Raw genomic sequence first — 20,064 nt, forward strand, 5'->3', positions numbered from 1 at the left:
ACGACCATTCTTCAGCCTAAACCATCATCCCCTTCCTCCCAGTTAAAAGGAAACATTGAAAAATTATATAAGTATTATATAATTATAGATTATTCTGTAAGTATTATATAAAAATTACATATTATATAAATATAGCTTTCATAAAATATAAGACAAAAGAAGGGAAAAAAAATTCTCATCCCCAAATGATGACTCTCTTGCTCTGGTAGATTTCCCCGTGATCTTTGTTTTCTCTGCATCTTTTTTAGGAGTTGCAATCAAGTGGTGCTGTATCTATCTCACCCAACAAACATTTCGCTTGCCTAGTGTCTCTGCTTTGCTGGGTGAAGTTTACTGGAAAAGCAGGAAAGTAGCTGCAAATTTTGCAGAAAAAGCCAGAAACAAATATTTCCTGTAGAAATCTCAGTGGAAGACTAGTTTGTTAATATTTTTTCCTACTTCATTTCTTGGTTTTATTACCAGATGTTGATTGAAACCCATGGGAGTAGGGTCACATTAGCATGATACCCTGAGACACTGATGGTGTGGTCAGCTCTCCGAAGTCTTTAACGCCTGTACTCTGAGGAGACCCTCAGATCCCAGGGAGCTGTCGAGGGAGGAAGCAATATGCCCATTGGAGATGATTCCAGTGCTGCTGGAACCAGGACAGCCAGCTCAGTGCTGGGCAGATGGCAATGACAAAATCTCCCCTCCCAGGTGAAGAAATGTTTCTCGCGCAATTGTCCTTCCACGCCCTCTTCTCATGGTCCAGTTTCTAGCACAAATATGGGACACCTGGGATTCAGTTGTGATACGTCAATTAATTAGTTGTGTGATCTCAGGCAAGTCTTCATTCTGTCTGTCCCAAAGTTCTTGGAGGATCTAGGAGTCACAGGGCGATAACGCCTGCCCTACTTAGCTTACAGGGTTGCTATGAAGAATACAACTGGATGACAGGTGGAGAAAGTGCCTGGGAAAGTTTCAACTGCCTGATAGATACAAGGTATTATTATTTCTGTTTATTAGCCCTATCTATCTCTGTCACATGGTTTCGTCTTACAGACATGTGCTTTGGAATTCCAGACACTTACAATGTTCTAGACAACATAAAAACACTGTTTTAATTAGAAATATGGCTGATTTCTATGCTGCCCAGCAAGGTTTCTTTTTATTAAGCAGACCAATTACAGACACTTCTAAAAACTTGCCTGATTCACCAAACCACAAAAATGATTGTGAAAATTTTACATACAACATGTGTCTCAAAGTCAGCATTGGGGTGGGAAGAGTTAGAGTCAGATGGCTCTTCTATTCTGTACCATTTCCATGTTTTCTCTGGACTTTATCTCTCTCTTCCCTTCTCTCTCTCTCTCTCCCGCCCCCTGCCTGCCCCCAACACACTCTCTTACTCTCATACACTTTTATCTCTCTCAGTGTAAAACATGTTAATAAAGCAAGTCCAAAAATCCATACTTTTGACTGTGCAAAGAAACTCTCTGTGGTGCTTCTTTACTAAAATCTACAATTAAGTAGAAATGGTCCAGTTACAAAGCTGTCTTACTAAGAGGCTTACTACTTTGGAAAATGACTGTAATTTTCTATAATTTCCAACATCTAAAAACAAACCTATAAACCATAATGAGATAAACCATAACTACTCACACCCACTAGAGGGCACTAACAAAAAAGATGGGCAATAACAAGTGTTGGCGAGGATGCAGAGAAACTGGATCCTTGATACACTGCTGGTGGGAATTTGAAATGGTATAGCCACTTTGGAAACAGTCTAGTAGCTCCTCAAAAGGTTAAATACAAAGTTATATGATTTAGCAGTTCCACTCCTAGGAATATTATGGAAATAACTGAAAACATGTCTTAAAAACAACTTGTACTCAAATGCTCACAGCAGCATTATTTATAATAGCCCCAAAGTGGAAACAACCCACATGGCCCTCAACCAATGAACAACAAAATGTGGTATTAGTCAACAAAATGGATCAACATTATGGAATATTACTCAGGAATTAAAAGCAACAAAGTACTAATACATGACAATATACCTGGTGAGTACATCAATGGCAAGGGTAAACCTTCAAAGCATTATGCTAAAGTGAAAGGAGCTAGACACAGAAGGCCACATCTTGCAAGATTCTATTTATACAAATGCCCCAAACAAGTACATCTACAGAGATAGAAGGTAGATTACTGGTTGCCTGGGGCTGAGGGGAGTGGGCAATGAGGAGTAACTGCTAATAGGTACAGCATTTCCTTTTAGGGTGGTGAAAATGTTTTAGAATTACATAGTGGTGATGGTTGTACAACATTGTGGATATATCAACAACCACTGAATTGTTCATCTTAGTAGGGTGGATTTTATGATATGGGAATTATGTCTTAATTTAAAAAATAAACCTGTGCAAGATAGACATACATAAAATTCAAACATTACAGACATACATAGAAATGAAACTTTCCCTACACTCCTCTCCAACGGTGCTCCCAGTTTTTTCTTATTCTCTATGCTGATTTTATTTATATGGTGTGTATATTTAGGAAACAAACTAGGACCTTGTGCATACTGCTTTGTGATTTTCACTTATGTGACTTGTTCATTTTTTTTTACTGGAAGAGAAAAATTCCCAACCTGACTTCTTAAGGAATATAGCAAATCCAGAAGTCATAAAGAAAAAGACTTATACCTTGACTACATAAAACTAATATTTTTTTATATGGGAAAAGGTACAATAAATAAAGAAGCAGACTAAGGGAATATCTAAGCAACATTTATGAGAAAGGGTTAATATTCCTAATATTAGGGATTAAGATTCCTACATGTTGATTTAAAGTTAAACAATACAAAAGAAAAATAGGCAAAGAGGTAAACCAGCAATTCACAGGAAAGGAAATATAAATGTTCAATACACATAAAACAAGATGTCAGCCTCATTAGTAGTCACCATTTTTTTGCCCATCAAATTGGCAAAAATTAAAAAGACTGGTGACAACTAGTATGGGCAAGAATAGGGGAAATTGGACACTCTAAGTTGCTGATGAATATGTGAATTGCTACAACATTTTGGGTAGGTCATTAGGTAGTATTTAATAAATGGGCACAACCTTTAGCCCATCTTTGAAACTAACCCACAAAAATAAATGCACCACTACTAACAGTAGGGTCACAAAATGTTTATTGCAGCAATGTTTATCAGAGGGAAAAACTGAAAACAACTGAAATGTCTGGTGATAAGTGACAGCTGAATGAACTACGATTTACGAGAACGAGAGATATTGGAGAAACATGTCTTGGCCCTGTGTGATCGACCTACAGCCACGTGCATGGTAGACAGCTACGTGAAAAAAGGAAGCTGCTAACTCTACAACATAATGCCATTAAAATAAAACCCAAACCCATAGAGAGGTGAATATATATTTGTATATTGTTGTAGGCAAAGAGAAAGCCTGTTAAATTTGGTATGTTTGGGGCTGGGTATGCTGTGTTCTAGAATTTAAAAAAGAATGTCATTTTAAAAAGCTGATTATTGATAAAGGATAATACTGCGCTAATTTGATCTTTCTCGAAGCCAGGGAACAGTTAAAAAGGATGGGAGAAGCCAACGACTGTGAGATGGAAGGGCTGCTTAACACGGTATAACTACAACATCTTACAGAATACAAGGTATGTTAACACTTCACTTTTGGTCTAACGTTTTGGCTCCCTACGGGGTGGAGGAAGACAGATTGGGAAAACACACGCGAAGTATTACACTGGCGTCTGGCAAGGGGTGGAAACTCCTGTCTTGATTTCTGACTCTGGTGTCTCCGTGGGGTTCACTTGAAAGAGAAGGCACCTGGATCCCATATGAAAGCAGGGCAGGGCAGAATTAGCCCAATAGATGCTGGCTTCTTCTGGATCAGTTCAGGAAAACAAGTTTTGACTTGTGGAGAAGGATCTGCCTTGAGCACTATTACTGGGGATAATACTTCAACCAGGGTCAAAGTAACTCCCTAAAGCAGGTTATCAACTCCTCGAGCAGCAGTCATGGCAAGTCCCTGAGACAGTTCTTGGAAACCTAACCTCCTCTACTCTAGGAAAACTAAGATGTCAAATTGGGAAAAACCTTAACTTTACTGTAACTGTCCTGTCCAAACTGTACCACTGAGAGGGGCTATGTTTTCCAAAATGGCATAGAGCTTTGGTAAATGTCTCTTCTTTCACTGTTCAGGAATGCAGAAGATGGATTTTTCTTTCTTTTTTTTTTTTTGAGACAGAGTCTCGCTCTGTCACCCAGGCAGGAGTGCAGCGGCGCGATCTCGGCTCACTGCAAGCTCCGCCTCCCGGGCTCACGCCATTCTCCTGCCTCAGCCTCCTGAGTAGCTGGGACTACAGGCGCCCACCACGACGCCCAGCTAATTTTTTTTTTTGTATTTTTTAGTAGAGACGGGGTTTCACCGTGTTAGCCAGGATGGTCTCGATCTCCCGACCTTGTGATTCGCCCGCCTCGGCCTCCCAAAGTGCTGGCATTACAGGTGTGAGCCACCGCGCCCAGCCATGGATTCCTTTTTTAAAGGTAAAAATAAGAGTATTTTTAAAAGTAGCGGTATTTCTCAAGGGGGGAAGGCTAGTCCTGTTCATGACTATTTTACAGGTTGAATGAGTCCTCCTTTTAATTGAGTTAATATTTTTAGTTCTAAAGTAAACAACTGACATGGTCCCAACATACACACAAAAAATGTGTTCTTGCTGTGGCCCCAAGACTTTAAGCTCTCTTTTGGGATATTGGCGGCGAGGGTGGGGGGACACAAAAGAAGATGTATCTGAAACTGACAGTTCTTTGAACATATGCAAATGTCATAAAAACACCACCCTCCCTTGAGCTTAATGGCCAGCCTTTTATTTTTTTTTGAGACAGGGTCTCACTTTGTCACCGAGGCTGGAGTGCAGTGCCACCATCTCAGCTCACTGCAACCTCCTTCTCCTGGGCTCAAGTGATCCTCCCACCTCAGTCCCACAGGTAGCTGGGACTACTGGCACGAGCCACCACGCCTGGCTATTTTTTTATATTTTTGGTAGAGATGGGGTTTCACCATGTTGCCCAGGCTGGTCTTGAAATCCTGAGCTCAAGTGATCCACCCACCTCGGCCTCCCAAAATGCTAGGATTACAGGCCTGAGCCACCATGCCCGGCCCCAGGCTCCTCTTAAAGGAGAGACAAAAAACAAAGACTGCAGGCCTTTGTGCTCTTCTCCCTCCACCAGTCCTTGGTAGGAAGCCATGATGCGGATGAGGTGGACGCAGTGACTTGCCTTCCACATCAGGCACGCTCATTCACGGTTTCAGAACAAAAGGAAAACCTCACAAAAGAGGTCAGAGGGAAAGAATGAGTGAGGAGAGAGAAAACACAGCCTTTCACTATTTTCGGGAAAGCTCAATCTTCCCAATGTCAGGGACACAGATGTGAGCCTGGCTTGGGGCACTGGGCACAACCCACCACCCCAAACCTAAGGGGAGGTGGTATATTCGCATGGGAATAGCTCCCATTCATATTTCCTTTCTAATTTATTTTAAATTAAATCCTTGCAGTGTTTCTCTTTCTCCATGTCTGCTAGGCAGTTAAGAGAGGGGCAGAAACCAGGCTAGCAAGCAAAGAAAGTGACCACAGGGCATTTTTGCAGTTGGCACAGGGGCCTTTGGCATCTATTTTCAAAACACGCCCAAACTAAAACCTCATGTGCTTCTCGCCAATCTTGCAGAGGCTGAATAAACTGCACGTGGCTCTGTGAAAAGCCACCTCATCCCGTATGGCATTTCTGCTTTCTGGCTGGGTTAACATCTCTGCCTTACAGAGGCTGGTAACATCCAGAGAGCACAGATGGGTACCAAGGTTGCCGGCCTCAGGAGGACCATGTTTCATTTCTTCCTGTGTTTTTGGGATACACAGCTCTGAGAAGGGACTTGTCACTGGGTTTGTTCAATCCCGCTCCTGAGGGGGGTCTGAGACACAGGTAGCAGTCTCAAGCTGGTACCTTGTCAATCAGCAAGACAGTGCAGTGAACGCCAGGTCACGACACAGACTCTCTCAGGTCTTTCTAGGGAATGTTCATGTTATTGGGGAGGTGGGTCCTCTGCAGGGGCCTCTTCTTTCCTCTCCTTAGTCTTGTGAGTCTTGCTCACGATGTGGCTGCTGTTGCCCCTGTTCCCCTCTTCCAGCAATGGTAAGACACACATGGAGCCTCTGGACATTTTTCCTAGCAAGTACATTGCTTTCAGGGTGGATGAAACTGCTACTCTACCCCACTACTTCTCAAAATGTCTTCCTAGCATTTGAGGGAGCTTGGGAAATGATCCATTATACATTATGTGTGGCTGACTAGGGTGCTTCTGTGATGACCCCAGGACCGGGATAAACGGTGAGGCTTCCATCACCTTCACTGTGATGGACATGGGATGGCCCTGGGGTCTTCTGTTGACAAGGAAAATCTAAAAGGTGCTGGGAGAGTGTTGATCTATTTGGTTTCAATCAATCAATCTGGAAAGAGATTCTATATCTTCCTTTACGCTGAACGGGTGAAGGGCAAGGATGAGGGTGATGAACATGGCATCCTTTCAAAGCAGGTGTAGGAGGGGGAGAGAGGGAGGAGAAAGAGGGGGGTCTGGAGTGCCTCAGTGTACTTCATGCATTAGACTTCAGTATATTTTTACTCAGCAGCTTGCCTCTGCTTGTCGAGTATTGAGATCCAGATCAAATATCAAGTGCTTTTCTAGGACAGAAGTGGTTAATGTGGAATCACCTTCAGCATCCTGCCTCTGTGGATGGGGAAGGCAGTCTCTCTACTGTCATCTTTAATCTTAGCACGTAAGAACAATGTGGGAGTGGTGGGGGGCAGGGAGTAGTCCAGATAAAGGGCCTAGAGAGTGGGTCACATGCTTGAATTTATGTGGGTTCCCTACCTCCTGGCCCCTGTCCTGCACAGGACACGACTCACTGTCTGCTTCCGAGAACGATCCGGATTCGTCACTGGAGTTGGTTCCATAAGACTGCTCACATTTAATTTGGGGCCGCACTTGGTTGTACATTCCATCTCCCATCAGGCCTGGTTCCTGATGTTCTGTGGCAAGGAATCTGGCTCCCTGGGAACAGGGCGAGGAGGAGAACTCACAGAGAGGGAGGCTGCAGGGTGAGCCCCCGCTCCCGTCCTCCGCGTAGGAATAGGAAGAGCAGGAGCTGGAAGTCCTGGTCCTGGTCTCCAAGGGGGGTGAGCGAGGGCAGACTTTGATTGGTACCGGGCAGCTGGTGTTGGGCCGCATCCTTCCTGGCAAGTGGTCGGCCATCAGCCCACCGTGGGAGTAGGCCTGCGAGCTGGGGAGGGACTGGCCGGCTCCCACCCACAGACCCTTTGGCACCGGCTCAGAGAGGTCTTTGTCCAAACTGCTCACCCCAGAATAAGAATGCACCGAGGTGCTCACTTGGTCACAAGCGCTGGAGGAGAAGATCACGCTCCTCCGGTCCAGCTCTCCCTCCTGTTTACAGAGAGCCTCCAACCCAGGCCCCCTGAGGGGCGACCCCATGGTGAAGTTGGACACCTCCTTCTGGCCCACGTGGGGCTGTCCATAATTCCCTGTGAAAGGGGTGTAGTCAGTTTTAAGGTCACCCTGAGTGATCCCCTTGTCAAAAGGGCAGGCTGGACTCCTGGCAAAGTGCTGCTGAGATGTACTGGGCAGGCCAGACAGCTCCACACTTTTCGTTATGCTGAACAGAGACCTTAAGCAGGAGGGCGAGGCCACGCTCCTGGATCTCTCCAGGCAGGCGGCCCCAGCTGGGGCCGTGGGGGTAGGGGCAGGGCTGGGCTGTTTCCGGTCCATCTCGACATCCCCCGCTCTGTCCTTGGCGTCAGGCTCATCTCCAGACAGGCAGAGCGTGATGCTCTCTTCCTCATTCTCTTCACTGGGCGGCTCACTTTTAATCTGCCCCCTGGCAAGCCCCGGCTTGAGGCTGTTGCTAGAGTTATCTTCCCGGAATGTGCTTGCAAAACCTGAGGTACTGTGTGATGATGCATTATAGACATTCTTGGTACATGCAAGCTGGTATTTCTTGTATCTGGGGTACTGCGTTAACGCGTCCTTTTCTGAGCTCTCCTTGGTGTCTGTGGGCACGTCAGGCTCGGGCAGCAGGGCTTCTTCCTTCTCTGCTACGGGGATGGCGGCGGCCTCAAAGCTGATGGGCTCTGGAAGCATCTGGTCCCTGGGGCAAGCCATCTTGGCCGTCTCTGAATCCATCGTCTCCTCCTCTTCATCCTCCTCCTCTCCTGCAGAGTTCTCGCAGTCCTCGTGTGGGCGCTGGCACGCAGCATCCTTCCGGCACACAAACAGGCCATCCTCACTGTTCAGGAGCTGGGTCTGCAGGAAGCTGAAGCAGGAGTCCTCCAGGTTGTGCATGCGCAGGAACTCAGCACAGCGGATGACCTCGCGGATGTTTTCTCTGCTGAGTAACAGCTTGGCAGTGTAGGCAAACTGTAACAGCGGCCCAAAGCCCCTGGCTGTGACCTGCAAAACAAACAGGGAAATCGCCAACATTACCATCAGCACTGCTATTGTCCCGAATCCCTCAACTGAAGCAAGATAACCAGACAGTGCTAATGTCCCAGAATAAAGACTGCAAAGGGGCAGTTAATCTTGTAGTACTGGGTCAGCAATGATTCTGCTTCCAATAATTAGTGCCTGTCTCGTGCATGCCACTGTTGTACTCCATCACAGCACAGGCAGAATTGAAAATCACCAGGGTCAAGTGGCTAAACAAGATGACAACGGGTTCAGTGTTTACACTAATGAAATATCCTGGCAAAAATGCACGGTGACAATGGGGAGCCTATTAATTTCCCTCCCAATCAGTCCTGTTGAGAGCCATTCTACACGAGGGGGGAGTGTTGTGACACTTCTTGCAGCTTGCTGGAGCCCAAGAGAGCCTTAACGTTTTCTTGTCAACCACAAAAATGGCAATGTGACCCTGCAAAAAACTAACTCCAGGGAGTTGTAAAAATAGGTTTTCCTCACTTACAATGTTAAAAGAGACATTAAAACAACTCCTGTTTTGCTCATCCATCACAGTTTCTACTTGAGACTTTCGGTCATCATGTCTACCTGATCTTATGATGATGATGATCTCATTATCTCACCAGAGATGACAACAATCAAAAGTGGTGTGCTCAAGATGAAATCAACCCCTGGCCCATAATGAATGGGGGTTGCAGAGTTAAACAAACCGGCTCTCATTTAAATGGTTGAAGCTGCTGAGTGGCACAGGGTATGGGCTATTCCTTCCCTAATTATTAGCAGCAGCTTTGCCATGCAGCTGTCTTTTTTTCCTGGTAAATCTTCAGGGGCTAAGCCTACTGTCATTTGCTGCTTATCTGTTATATTTTACAAAGATTGAAAGTGTGCTATTTATGCACAGCTTGCATATGCACACAAACACGTGTGTGCCCACACGCATGCCTGCTCACACACAATGACTTAGACAATTAAGAATATGTTGCCTAAGGCCAATTGTTTTTTCAGATGGAAATGGATTAAACTTGCTGGTGTTCATCAGGGTAAGCTTCCTTACCCTGCACATAAAACCACACATCCTCTAGGTTCTTGCAAGCACTGCTGACCACACAGGAAGGTGACGCATGTCTACAAATCCTGTACAAATCAAATGAAAGCAGCAATCATGGGGTCCTTGCTAGAGGCTATGGTAGCAGTGATACAAAATTTTAGCGGGGGGAGTGAGTGCACAGCAAGGTGAACTGGTAAACTTTGTAGCTGACTTCTGTGTGTATTAAACTCACCGCAGCATACAGAGCCAAAATTCTTGCAAGGACCTGTAATTGATGTTCAAGATTCAACCTGGACATTCACTCCTTTGGGAGTGCTCTCCAGTCCTCTTAGAGAGAATGAATGACATTGTCCTCTCAGCTCTCATAGCCAGATGAGGAGACGTGCTGGATTCTCCAGGGCAGCACTGATTTCATATCATTGCATTCTTTCCAGTAACGGAAATTTCTTAGACATGTAACTGAACGGGATTTTAATTGTTAATCTTTTTAAAGTACTCAAGTAAGATTCCACATTAAATTTTTCTGTCAGATGATGAGTCCAGAGATATTTGGTTAAAAAAACAAAACAAAAAGCCATGACTGCTAGACCCACATTATAAATTCTATATGGGCAATCAGTGCCATCTCCCTTTTATTATACCTAATTGTGCCTGTTTCTACCATAAGACAGCAAGCTCCTTCAGATCAGGAATGGTTTTGTCTGTCTTTGTAACCTTGCATCTAATCTAACCTGGGGTCTCTCACATGGTAAATACTTGTTAAAAGCTTGTATGTTACCAAATATGTCATGAGTCAAACTGTGTCCTAACATACTACTACTGTGTATGCAAGGTGACAACACAGTATGTTTAGAGAGTGTTGTCTCAAGTTACTTTTGGAGCAAGGCATCATGTAAACCAACTAACTGAACCGATCAACTGATCAAAGGCAGGCAGGCAAGGGTCTTTGTTTGCCCCGTGTCACAGTACCAGTATTAAAAAGGAGGTCTGACCGACACTTTTGTATCCTGCTAAGCTGACATGGTAATAGGTTCAGCAAATGTAGTACTGACAATACATCTGTTTTATGTCCTTTTCTTCCAAGAATCTTTAAAAGAAAGTAAAAAAGCAAGGAAATGTGTATTTATAGGTAACTGAAGAAGATGACAAGAATGTCACATGACCTATTCCTTTACTGCCACATGGCTCCACCACAAAGAAAGAAATGGTGAAATCAATGCAGAGTTGACCCCTGCCCTCGTAATGATCCTATGCTCCTCTGTAATGTGCCAGTTGCCAAAAGGGTGGATAAGACACTTCTTGAGTTTTGGCAAAGGTGCTCACTATATGGGAAATGTAGGAAACTAATTTCAATGCTATTTATACTGTTCACACAGTTTTTCTTTTTTTTTTTATTATTATTATGCTTTAAGTTTTAGGGTACATGTGCATAATGTGCAGGTTACATATGTACACATGTGTCATGCTGGTGTGCTGCACCCATTAACTAGTCATTTAGCATTAGGTATATCTCCTAATGCTATCCCTCCCCCCTCCCCCCACCCCACAACAGTCCCCAGAGTGTTCACACAGTTTTTCTCATACTCCCATCCTTATCACCATTTTTTTTTTTTTTGATGCTGTAGGTCTAAGTAAGTCTTACCACTATCTTCCACTGTGGCCTCTTGTAAAGAAAATTTCTAAAGAAGCCAGGGACATCCATGGGGATCTGTAGATCAGGAAGCAGTACTGGGAGTCACCCTCTGCCACATGGCTGCAAGGAGCTGGAGAAAGCATCTCCGCTCAGGGACGAGCTGATGCTTAAATGTATGAATTGGACCAAGGAGGTGAATGAGCAAAGTCTCCACATCACAAATCAATGGCACTCCTTAGATCACTGAGGCTTAGGAAACTTCCTGAGCTTGAAATGATCGTCATATGGTCATGAAAGAGTCATAGATAAAAAATCTGGTTTGTAAACTGTCACTTAAGCCCAAGGGCAGAGGAAATGGTGTCCTCACCATGAAAGTTCAAGAGCTCATAACTAGCTCTTCTCCCATTCTGGTTTCAGTCCTGCTTTGTCATATTTAAGTCTGCAAGATTTTGCTCAGCTTCTGTGTGTGAGGCTTTGTTTGGTGAGCCAGAATGACCATTTACCAAGTATCTCCTAGTGCCCAGCACTGTGCTCTTGTAACACCCTGCAAGGCAGGCATGACTGCCCTTATTCTGTAGATAAGGAAACTATGAAGCAGGGAGGTGAAGGAGTTTATCCATGGTCAGTGCTAGTCAGTGGAGAGCTAGGATTCCAAACCAAGTCCAGTCTGTTTCTTCTTCTGTGCTAGTGGTGTGAGGGAAGGATATGTGTAGGACTCAGGCCTGTGCTCAAGAGATCTAAGATTTAGCTTTGTAGAAGAGGTACAAATGATGAAAAGTTAACTAAGTAACAATGTAAGCAAGTCAACAATGGAAAAGCCATTGCAAGATTATATGAGTAGTTGTCAACTGAGAAATCCAGACAAGTTCAGGATAGGAGACTACTGAGGCTGAGGGGACTAGCAAGGGGGCCCCTTGAACACTTTTATCAGCACGCCTTGAGTGTCTGCTCTAGGTCAAGGGTTGCTTTGATACGATGGCTACTTTCGGAACTGTCACAAGGGTCCCTCCCAGGAACCCATCTCTGGTCTACTTTCGGCAGTGGTAATCGCTCCAGATACACAAAACAGAAAGCAAGTGCCCATCACACCTGCCAGCAAGTGTTACAACAGGCAGAGGCTTTCTAAATACTGGCTTAGCCTCCATCTTGAGAAGGTGGCACTGTCTACCCATTTTTAGGGACCATTTAAATTCATTCATTATACTCAGAAGGCAAATATTCAGGTACCAGTGAAAAGCTGTATGTTCATGAAACTGTGACCACAAGTCTGCATTGTTACTTACTTTTTGTTCTTAACAAATAAGGCTCTAATAATGGGAAAAAATAAGAGGGGGGTGGGAGGTGGAGAATTACACGCAAAACTAACAACTCATAAAATGGTATTTTAAAAAGTAATGATCATAAAGTTAAAATGGAATGAAGTGGCTATAAATAGAAGAATAGTTCCAACTCACTGATGTTAATGGAGTTGCATCCCTCTGCTCTAAGCAGACCCATCTAGACTAAAATCCACTGGTCAGCAGTGGCCTCAAGGTATGAGAAACAAATGCAAAATATGGTGTTAGGGACAACTTGGGATAACAGTCTTGCATTTTGAATGAAAATATTTTGAATGCCTCATTTCGAAGAACATTTTTTCATTGCACTTAAATATGTAACTACCTGGTCTCATACTGTGCAATACTCATTCTGATACAGATGAGATGGGATCACACATTGGGGCCAGAATACAGTGTGCCATGTGGGGGCGAGACCTCGGAGAAGGCAGAAAGTTAACCCTCCAACCTCCCACAGACTGCTTCCTAGGAGGTGATGACCTCAGCTAGCAGTTGGCACATAGTTGGTTCAACCCTGAAAGAAATAAGGCCAGGGTACCGTGTCCGATGGTGCAAGTCAACATGCTGACAATGTGTTGAAATTTGACCCACTGTAACTATGACCCTTAATCCTTCATTACATTGGATTCTAACATATCATCTCTCTGCTGAAAGGAAGATGGGCTGATGAAAACTCAATTTGTAGAGAAAGTTTGGGCACTGTTTGCAAAGCTGGGGAGCTCAGTGTTTTGGGGAGCTCAGTGTTTTGGGGAGCTCAGTGTTTCATGAGACATCCATTTTGCTGCAGGACAGAGTTTATGAGGATACTTACAACAGTTCCATCTCTGGACTATGATAGGGATGAGGCAGTCAGCCTTCAGGCATTTATTGAAAATAGGGTTTGAGGATTTTTGAGACTTGGAACATCATTCTCTATATAAGCTACATGACTAAGGTGTCTCCAGTTGGTTTTGGCAGTATATACACATGGCTGTAGCATTGAGCCCATCTGCAGAAGGCTGATCAGATGAATCCGGAGGACAGGTGACTGCTCCCTGGGAGAGGGCTGGCACGCTTCTCAAGGTCCCTTAATCACAACTTCACAAAAAAGGGAAACTTACATCTTCAGCAACACCATGTACACTTTCCTGATGAAGCTGAATCTCTTACACACTGCAGGAACCAGGAAGATAAAGGTAATGAACCCCTGCCCAAGGGCTTTTTAAAACGCTAGACCACTGACAACCCCTCTGGGTTGTATTTGCACAGCAAGGCACTTGTCAAATGATGAAAGCAATGCTGGTGACAATTAACTCTCCCTTCCCACTCTCTTACTGCACTGCAACCCACTCTGCAGGATGAAAACTGACTTAGTGATCAGGCATCACTCCTCATCTTAATTTTCTATAATTCATATCCACATTATCACATTCTTCTTCCAAAGCAGCATGCTAGACATTTAGAAAGTATTTGTCAAATTAATTCACCTTACTATTTCAACAAAGCTTCTGGTTATTTTAGTATTAATTTTTATTTTATCTATTTTTACAGACAGGGTCTCCCTATGTTGCCCAGGCTTGTCTTGAACTCCTGGGCTCAAGGGATCCTCCTGCCTCAGCCTCCCAAAGTACTAGAATTACAGGTGTAAGCCACCACATCTGGCCTCGTATTAATTTTATTTATTTATTTACTGACAGGGTCTCATACTGGTTGTCCAGGCTGGAGTGCAGTGGCATGATCTTGCCACTTACTGCAGCCTCAACCTTTGGGGCTCAGGTGATTCTCCCAACTCAGCCTCTTGAATAGCTGGGACTATCGGCATATACCACTATGCCCAGCTAATTTTTGTATTTTTAGTAGAGACGGGGTTTCACTATGTTGCCCAGGTGGTCTCAAACTCCTGGACTCAAGCAATCCGTCTATTTTGACCTCCCAAAGTATTGGGATTACAAGTGTTAGCCATTGTGCCTGGGCAATTTTATTATGAATTTTAGATAGAGCTTATTTTGTGTTCTATTCCTAAGGTAATAATATAAAAACTAAATCAACATTGAAATTGATTTATACATATATCATTTCATATGGTGGTTCTTTTAGCTAAAGAAAATCATTATTTGTCTTAGTGAATATGTCTTAAAACATAAACGGAGTGTCTTTTCTCTCCTGTGCAGGTTTGAACTTGGATCTGCAGCCATAATGTAAAAATCCTTCCCCTATTTGTAAGTTTTACTCCTGAGACTCTATCTGATCATTCAGTCACTTATAATTTTTTTGTTTACTAATTTTATTTTATTTTTTAGAGATGAGGTCTCACTATGTTGTCCAGGCTGGCCTCGAACTCCTGGGCTCAAGCCATTTTCCTGCCTCAGCCTCTCAAAGTGCTGGGATTACAGGCATGAGCCACTGTGTCCATCCATACTCATTTTTTCATTCTCCAACGATGTGCTAGGCACTCACTGTGTACTATGCAAGGTCTGGGGACTCCACTTTCTTGGATTCAAGTCTCAGCTCTGCTGTCTACCAGCTGTGTCACTTGGGCTGGTTACTTAACCTTTCTGTGCTTTAGTTTCTCTATGCTTTAGTTTCTACAACTGTAAGACAGGGATACTGACAGTGCCTGCCTTATAGTAAAACCTTTGGAACAGGACCTGGCATTAAGTAACAACCAGTATTATTGCTGTTGCTACAAATATGAATAAAACACCACCTTTTTCTCCAAGGAGCTAACAAGTGACTGGGGAGACAGATGTTCAATATAAATGTTTACAGTGTCACCTGAGTACGTAACAGAGGTATTTGCAGGATGCTGGGAGGACAGGGCTGGAGCAGTAACTGCTAAGGGAATTAGTGTAAGGCTACTTAGAGGAGGTAACACTTGCCAAGTGTTGAGGGCTGAGTTGAAGTTCTTCAGAATAAGTAAAAGAAAGGCATGTCTCACTCCCTCATCATCTTCCGGCTTTTCCTCAAACGCCATTTCCTCACTGAGACCTTTCCTGGTCCTCTATTCACAATTGCCCTCCCCTACCACAAAACCAGAACTGGCTAGATGGTTTGCAGGGCCTAGTGCAAAATGAAAATGTTAGCCTCTTGTTCAGAGATTAAGAATTTCAAGTGACAAGAGAACATTAAACAAAGTGCAGGACCCCTCTGAGCATGGGGCCCTGTGCAATTAGTTGCACAGGTTTTATGCTCATGAAGCTGGCCCTGTCAATAACACATGCATGCACAAGTGCACACACACACACACACACACACACACACACACACACACACACACACACAGTTACCTATTCCCTGCAGTTGAAATGGACTCCCTGATTTGAGGAGGGGGTGATGGCATCCCAGGGTGGAGGTCAAACAGTAGACCACCATTTGACTTCAACTTTGGGCTGAAAAACATGGTCAGCCCACCAAGGTACTTTTTGATTAGTAAAAAAAGGAAAATCATGTAGGCTCAGTGAGCAAAGGCCTGACTCGAATCCCCATGATAGAGAGTCATGACTTGAATCAGTTAACAGACTCAGACTCCCTGCAATTATTCTCAGGAATTCTTGAGGACAGACCCTACCATAACCCACATTTTTGCTATGATTTCTCCTGTCACAGGGTTTTCCGAAATGTACTTGTAGTTTTTTCCTAAATCATGACTCAATACAAACTTTTTAAATTAAAAAACACCTAAAAAAATTATTCAGAAACTGTTGAGGCCAGAACCAAAACTATTATCACTCTCTCTGTGCGTGTGTATCTCTGTAACACTACTTTAATACAACTTAACTACCTTAATACAAACATAACCGGAAAACTGAAATAGTCCTTACCAACTACTAATTTTGACTTCTATTATTTGACTGAATTTTAGTTTGATGTTGTAAACTCATATGTTGGTTATTTACTATTGTCTCTCGGACTCACATCCACTTTTCTCATATTTCCCTCTTGCTGAGGCTGGGAGTTCAAAAACTCTTGTTTCCTAGGCTCTTTTGCTGGTTAACTTATTATCGGACCTGCCAACAGGTGCACAGGTGGGTGAGCTCAGAAGGTGGGAGGCATGAAGACGCTGTGGCTCCTTCTGTCTCTTGCTCTGTTTATCTTTCCTTTCTTGGCGGTGTGTTCTGGAAGTGGCTGCATCCCTGACTCTGTGGTGGAGTGTCCGGAAGGGGCTGTCTGCCCCACAGCTGCAGCTCCCGAGGCACCCGCCCCTCCACCATGCTCACAGGTCCCTTTCATCCCCTCCAGCCCTAGGAGTGGTAGATACTTTCTGCGGTCATTAATCATTAGGTTAGCTCTCCTTCCCTTTTCTGTTCTTCCAGTTTTCCAACACCTGTGTAACCAATTTCCTGTTTTATAGCCCCTCTATTTGAAACACCTGGCATGGTTTCTAGTTCCCTGACTTAACAATCCAATTTACAGACAAGGAGGCCAAGGCCCAGAAAGGTGAAGGGATTTACCCAAAGTCACAGGGCTGCCTGGCCAGGGCTAAACTCATGTCTTCCGACCGCAGAGTTCAACTCTCATGCTCCCTTTCTACCTGTTGCTGTTTCTCTGAAGTGAACTAGGAAAGAAATGCTATTTCATATGGAAACATGTTATTGTAAATTTTATTACTCTCTCTAAAATATTGTTTTATATAGCTCTATCCAAAGAAGTCTGGCCAATTGGATGCAGTACATCTTTTGGTATGCAGAAGGTGAATCTCATAATTGGTTCTATTTTTCCAGTGTCTGCATTCCTCCTGAAGGATGAAGATAACTGCTGTGTCCCTTTCCTGCTCAATGAAACTCTGCAAATCCTACGAAGCCCTTTTACCACATGGGGATTTGGTAAATTATCAGGCCTAGCTAAGTATTGGTCCTTAGAATCTAGAAGACAAAGCAGAAATGCCCTTCTGGCGGGGTGCCACATGGCACCAGAGCTTTGTTCCACAGTGGAATGGCAGTCGGATGAAGCTGATGTCTAGGGGGAGCGTTACGTGTCCCCTCTCTGTGATAGTCGGCTCAGAATGGTTATGGGGCTATATAATGGCTGAAACTGCCCCTTAGGTATTTCTTTGGTTGTTTCAAGGTTGATGGGAACAGGAGAAGGTCCCAAAAGCAAACATTCCATATTGTCTTTCCTGAGAACTGGCGACACCTTGGGTATGTGGAACCTTCGTTTCAACTGGGTGGTTTTGCCCATCTCATCTCACCTCCTTCATATGTGGCGCTCATAATTTTCCCATTCAGGTATAGATGGTTATATTTCCTAGGTTAGTGACAGGCAAAAGTCATATATGATACAGATACAAGGAACTATATTCATATTTACCCTAAAAGCATACGGTGAAAACAGAAAATCTCCCTTCTGAAAGATTATAAAATGAAGTTCACAGAATAATTTTTAAAAATCCAATTTCAATATAAGTGTAGGTCTTAAAATAGATATGAAATAGTAGTAATGTTTCACGTTTTTCAGTGTAAAATAAAAGTGAAAAGCATCCCACTCACTGGTAATGAAGTAGTAAAACCTGCATCAAGGTTTATGGTTTCATTCGAAAAACTGCCTCCAAAAGAAAATTATTTTTAAAAAGAAGATTTAGAAAAAATTACCTAATTTCCATTTTAAATGACCCTCTTCCCATTCCAGAAACCAGTGATTTTCCTAGGCGAGAATTTCTTGACTCAAGGTCTGGTTTCACCCTCTCAACCCCTCTAGTCATTTCAAACCAACTATGAACCACTTGATCTTCAACCAGAAAATACAAAACATTTTTGAAGGCTTCCAGTGATGAGAAGTTTGGCCCCTCATTAGCACCTTCTAATGGTTCTTCATGTTAAGTTTCAGGAATGGAAGTTTTGGCTTAGTCAGTTATGAGTTCTTACACCTTTCTTGTTACTCTCCTCTGAACCACACTGCCTGCGACTACACCCCTGGCAGATATCTGGATTGAATAAATGCTCCAATCATTGGTACAGAGGACACACTATCACCTCTCTCTGTCTATATCCTATTTTCTAGAAATGCTCAGATTTCACTGTCACTTATTATTTACAATTAACATCTCTGAGCTTATTTCCTCCCAGTATCTATTGATAAGCCATGTGTCCATTTTAACCTTGCAAAATCAAATTTTTGACCCAAGAGTGTGTACTTGTCTAGATACTCAGAAATCATTCCTATTATAAAAACTACTATTCAGTCAAATTTTTAAAGATCCACTTTCTTCTCTTTGTTTTGCAAATTACGATGCAATTTCTGATCTCTAGTCTTTTGACACTTTCCTTAGCTCCACAGTCCCTGAAAGATTTTGACCATAGCAAGTTGTATCATAATCATATTATTCCCCCTGCAGTTTGGGGGCTTTACTTCATCCAGTCTGGGAGCTTAGCATTTTCTTTTTGTTCATCTACCTAGGGCTTCCTTTCCCTTTTCCAAGTTTTTTCTCACTTTTCAGTCTTATGGTCATTCATTCAGTCATTCTCCTTGATGCACAATATAAAATTAACTCTGGGCTTTTTGCCATCCTCAGTACTACACAGTCAGCCCCAATGAGCAGCTGTTGGTTCCCTCATCTTTACGCTCCAAAGAGAACCACAAATTCATTTTTGTTTTCTGTGGTCCTCTTCGAAAGGTCTCCACTCATTTTGGGCTTGAGTTTTCTTGAACGCCTTATTTGTGGTTCCATACATGTTCCCATAGTTGTTCGTGTTTTTCCAGTGTTTAAAATAAAACTCTGAATGAAACACAACTGCTGGCACAATTTACCCTCCTTTTTCAAGAAAAGGGTCCTCATGTGAACTTTGTTTTGGACACTTCTAGCCCTCCTGAATCATCTTTCCCCACAGATGCATAATTTCTACCTTTTTCTTGTTAACATAAAAATCTGTTTAAAAATGTCTTGAACCCAAAATTATAAAACTCTAGAAGAAAACATGGGGGAAAAGCTTCATGTCATTGGACTTGGTAATGAGTTCTTGGATATGACACCAAAAGCACAAGAAACAAAAGCAAAAATGAACAAATGGGACTATATCAAACTTAAAATCTGATTCTATCAAAGGATACAATCAAAGTAAAAAGGCAACTCATGGAATGGGAGGGAATATTTGTAAATCATATACCTAGTAAAGGGTTGATATATAAAGAACCCCTATGTAAAGAACTCTCATTTAAAGAACTCCTACAACTCCCAACAGCAAAATATAAAATAACCCAACTAAAAGTAGGCAAAGGACTTGAATAGACGTTTCTCCAAAGACATACAAATAGCCAACAAACATATGAAAAGATGCTCAACGTCACTAATTAACAGAGAAATAAAAATTAAAACTACAATGAGATCTCACCTTACACCCACTGGGATGACTACTACCAAAAAAACAGAGTAACAAGTGTCAGCGAGGCCGTGGAGAAATTGAAATCCTTGTGCACTGTTTTATTTTTTATTTTTCTTGTTTGTTTTTGTTTTTAAGACAGGGTCTCACTCTCACCCAGGCTGGAGGGCAGTGGCATGATCATAGTTCACTGCAGGCTCAACTTCCCAGGCTCAAGTGCTCCTCCCA

General features: G+C 43.1%; 1 protein-coding gene across 2 annotated transcripts in view; it reads right to left on the minus strand.

The window, feature by feature from the left end:
* The window catches only part of BACH2 (BACH transcriptional regulator 2), a 370,316-nt gene that overhangs the window by 16,815 nt on the left and 333,437 nt on the right, over window positions 1-20,064 (minus strand). For both annotated transcript variants that reach the window (NM_001170794.2, NM_021813.4), the window contains one exon: window positions 6,928-8,520. In NM_001170794.2, coding sequence (NP_001164265.1) covers window positions 6,928-8,520 — 1,593 coding nt within the window. The remainder of the gene's footprint in view (window positions 1-6,927; window positions 8,521-20,064) is intronic.

The sequence above is a fragment of the Homo sapiens genome, chromosome 6 (genome assembly GCF_000001405.40).
Source record: "Homo sapiens chromosome 6, GRCh38.p14 Primary Assembly".
NCBI lineage: Eukaryota > Metazoa > Chordata > Mammalia > Primates > Hominidae > Homo > Homo sapiens.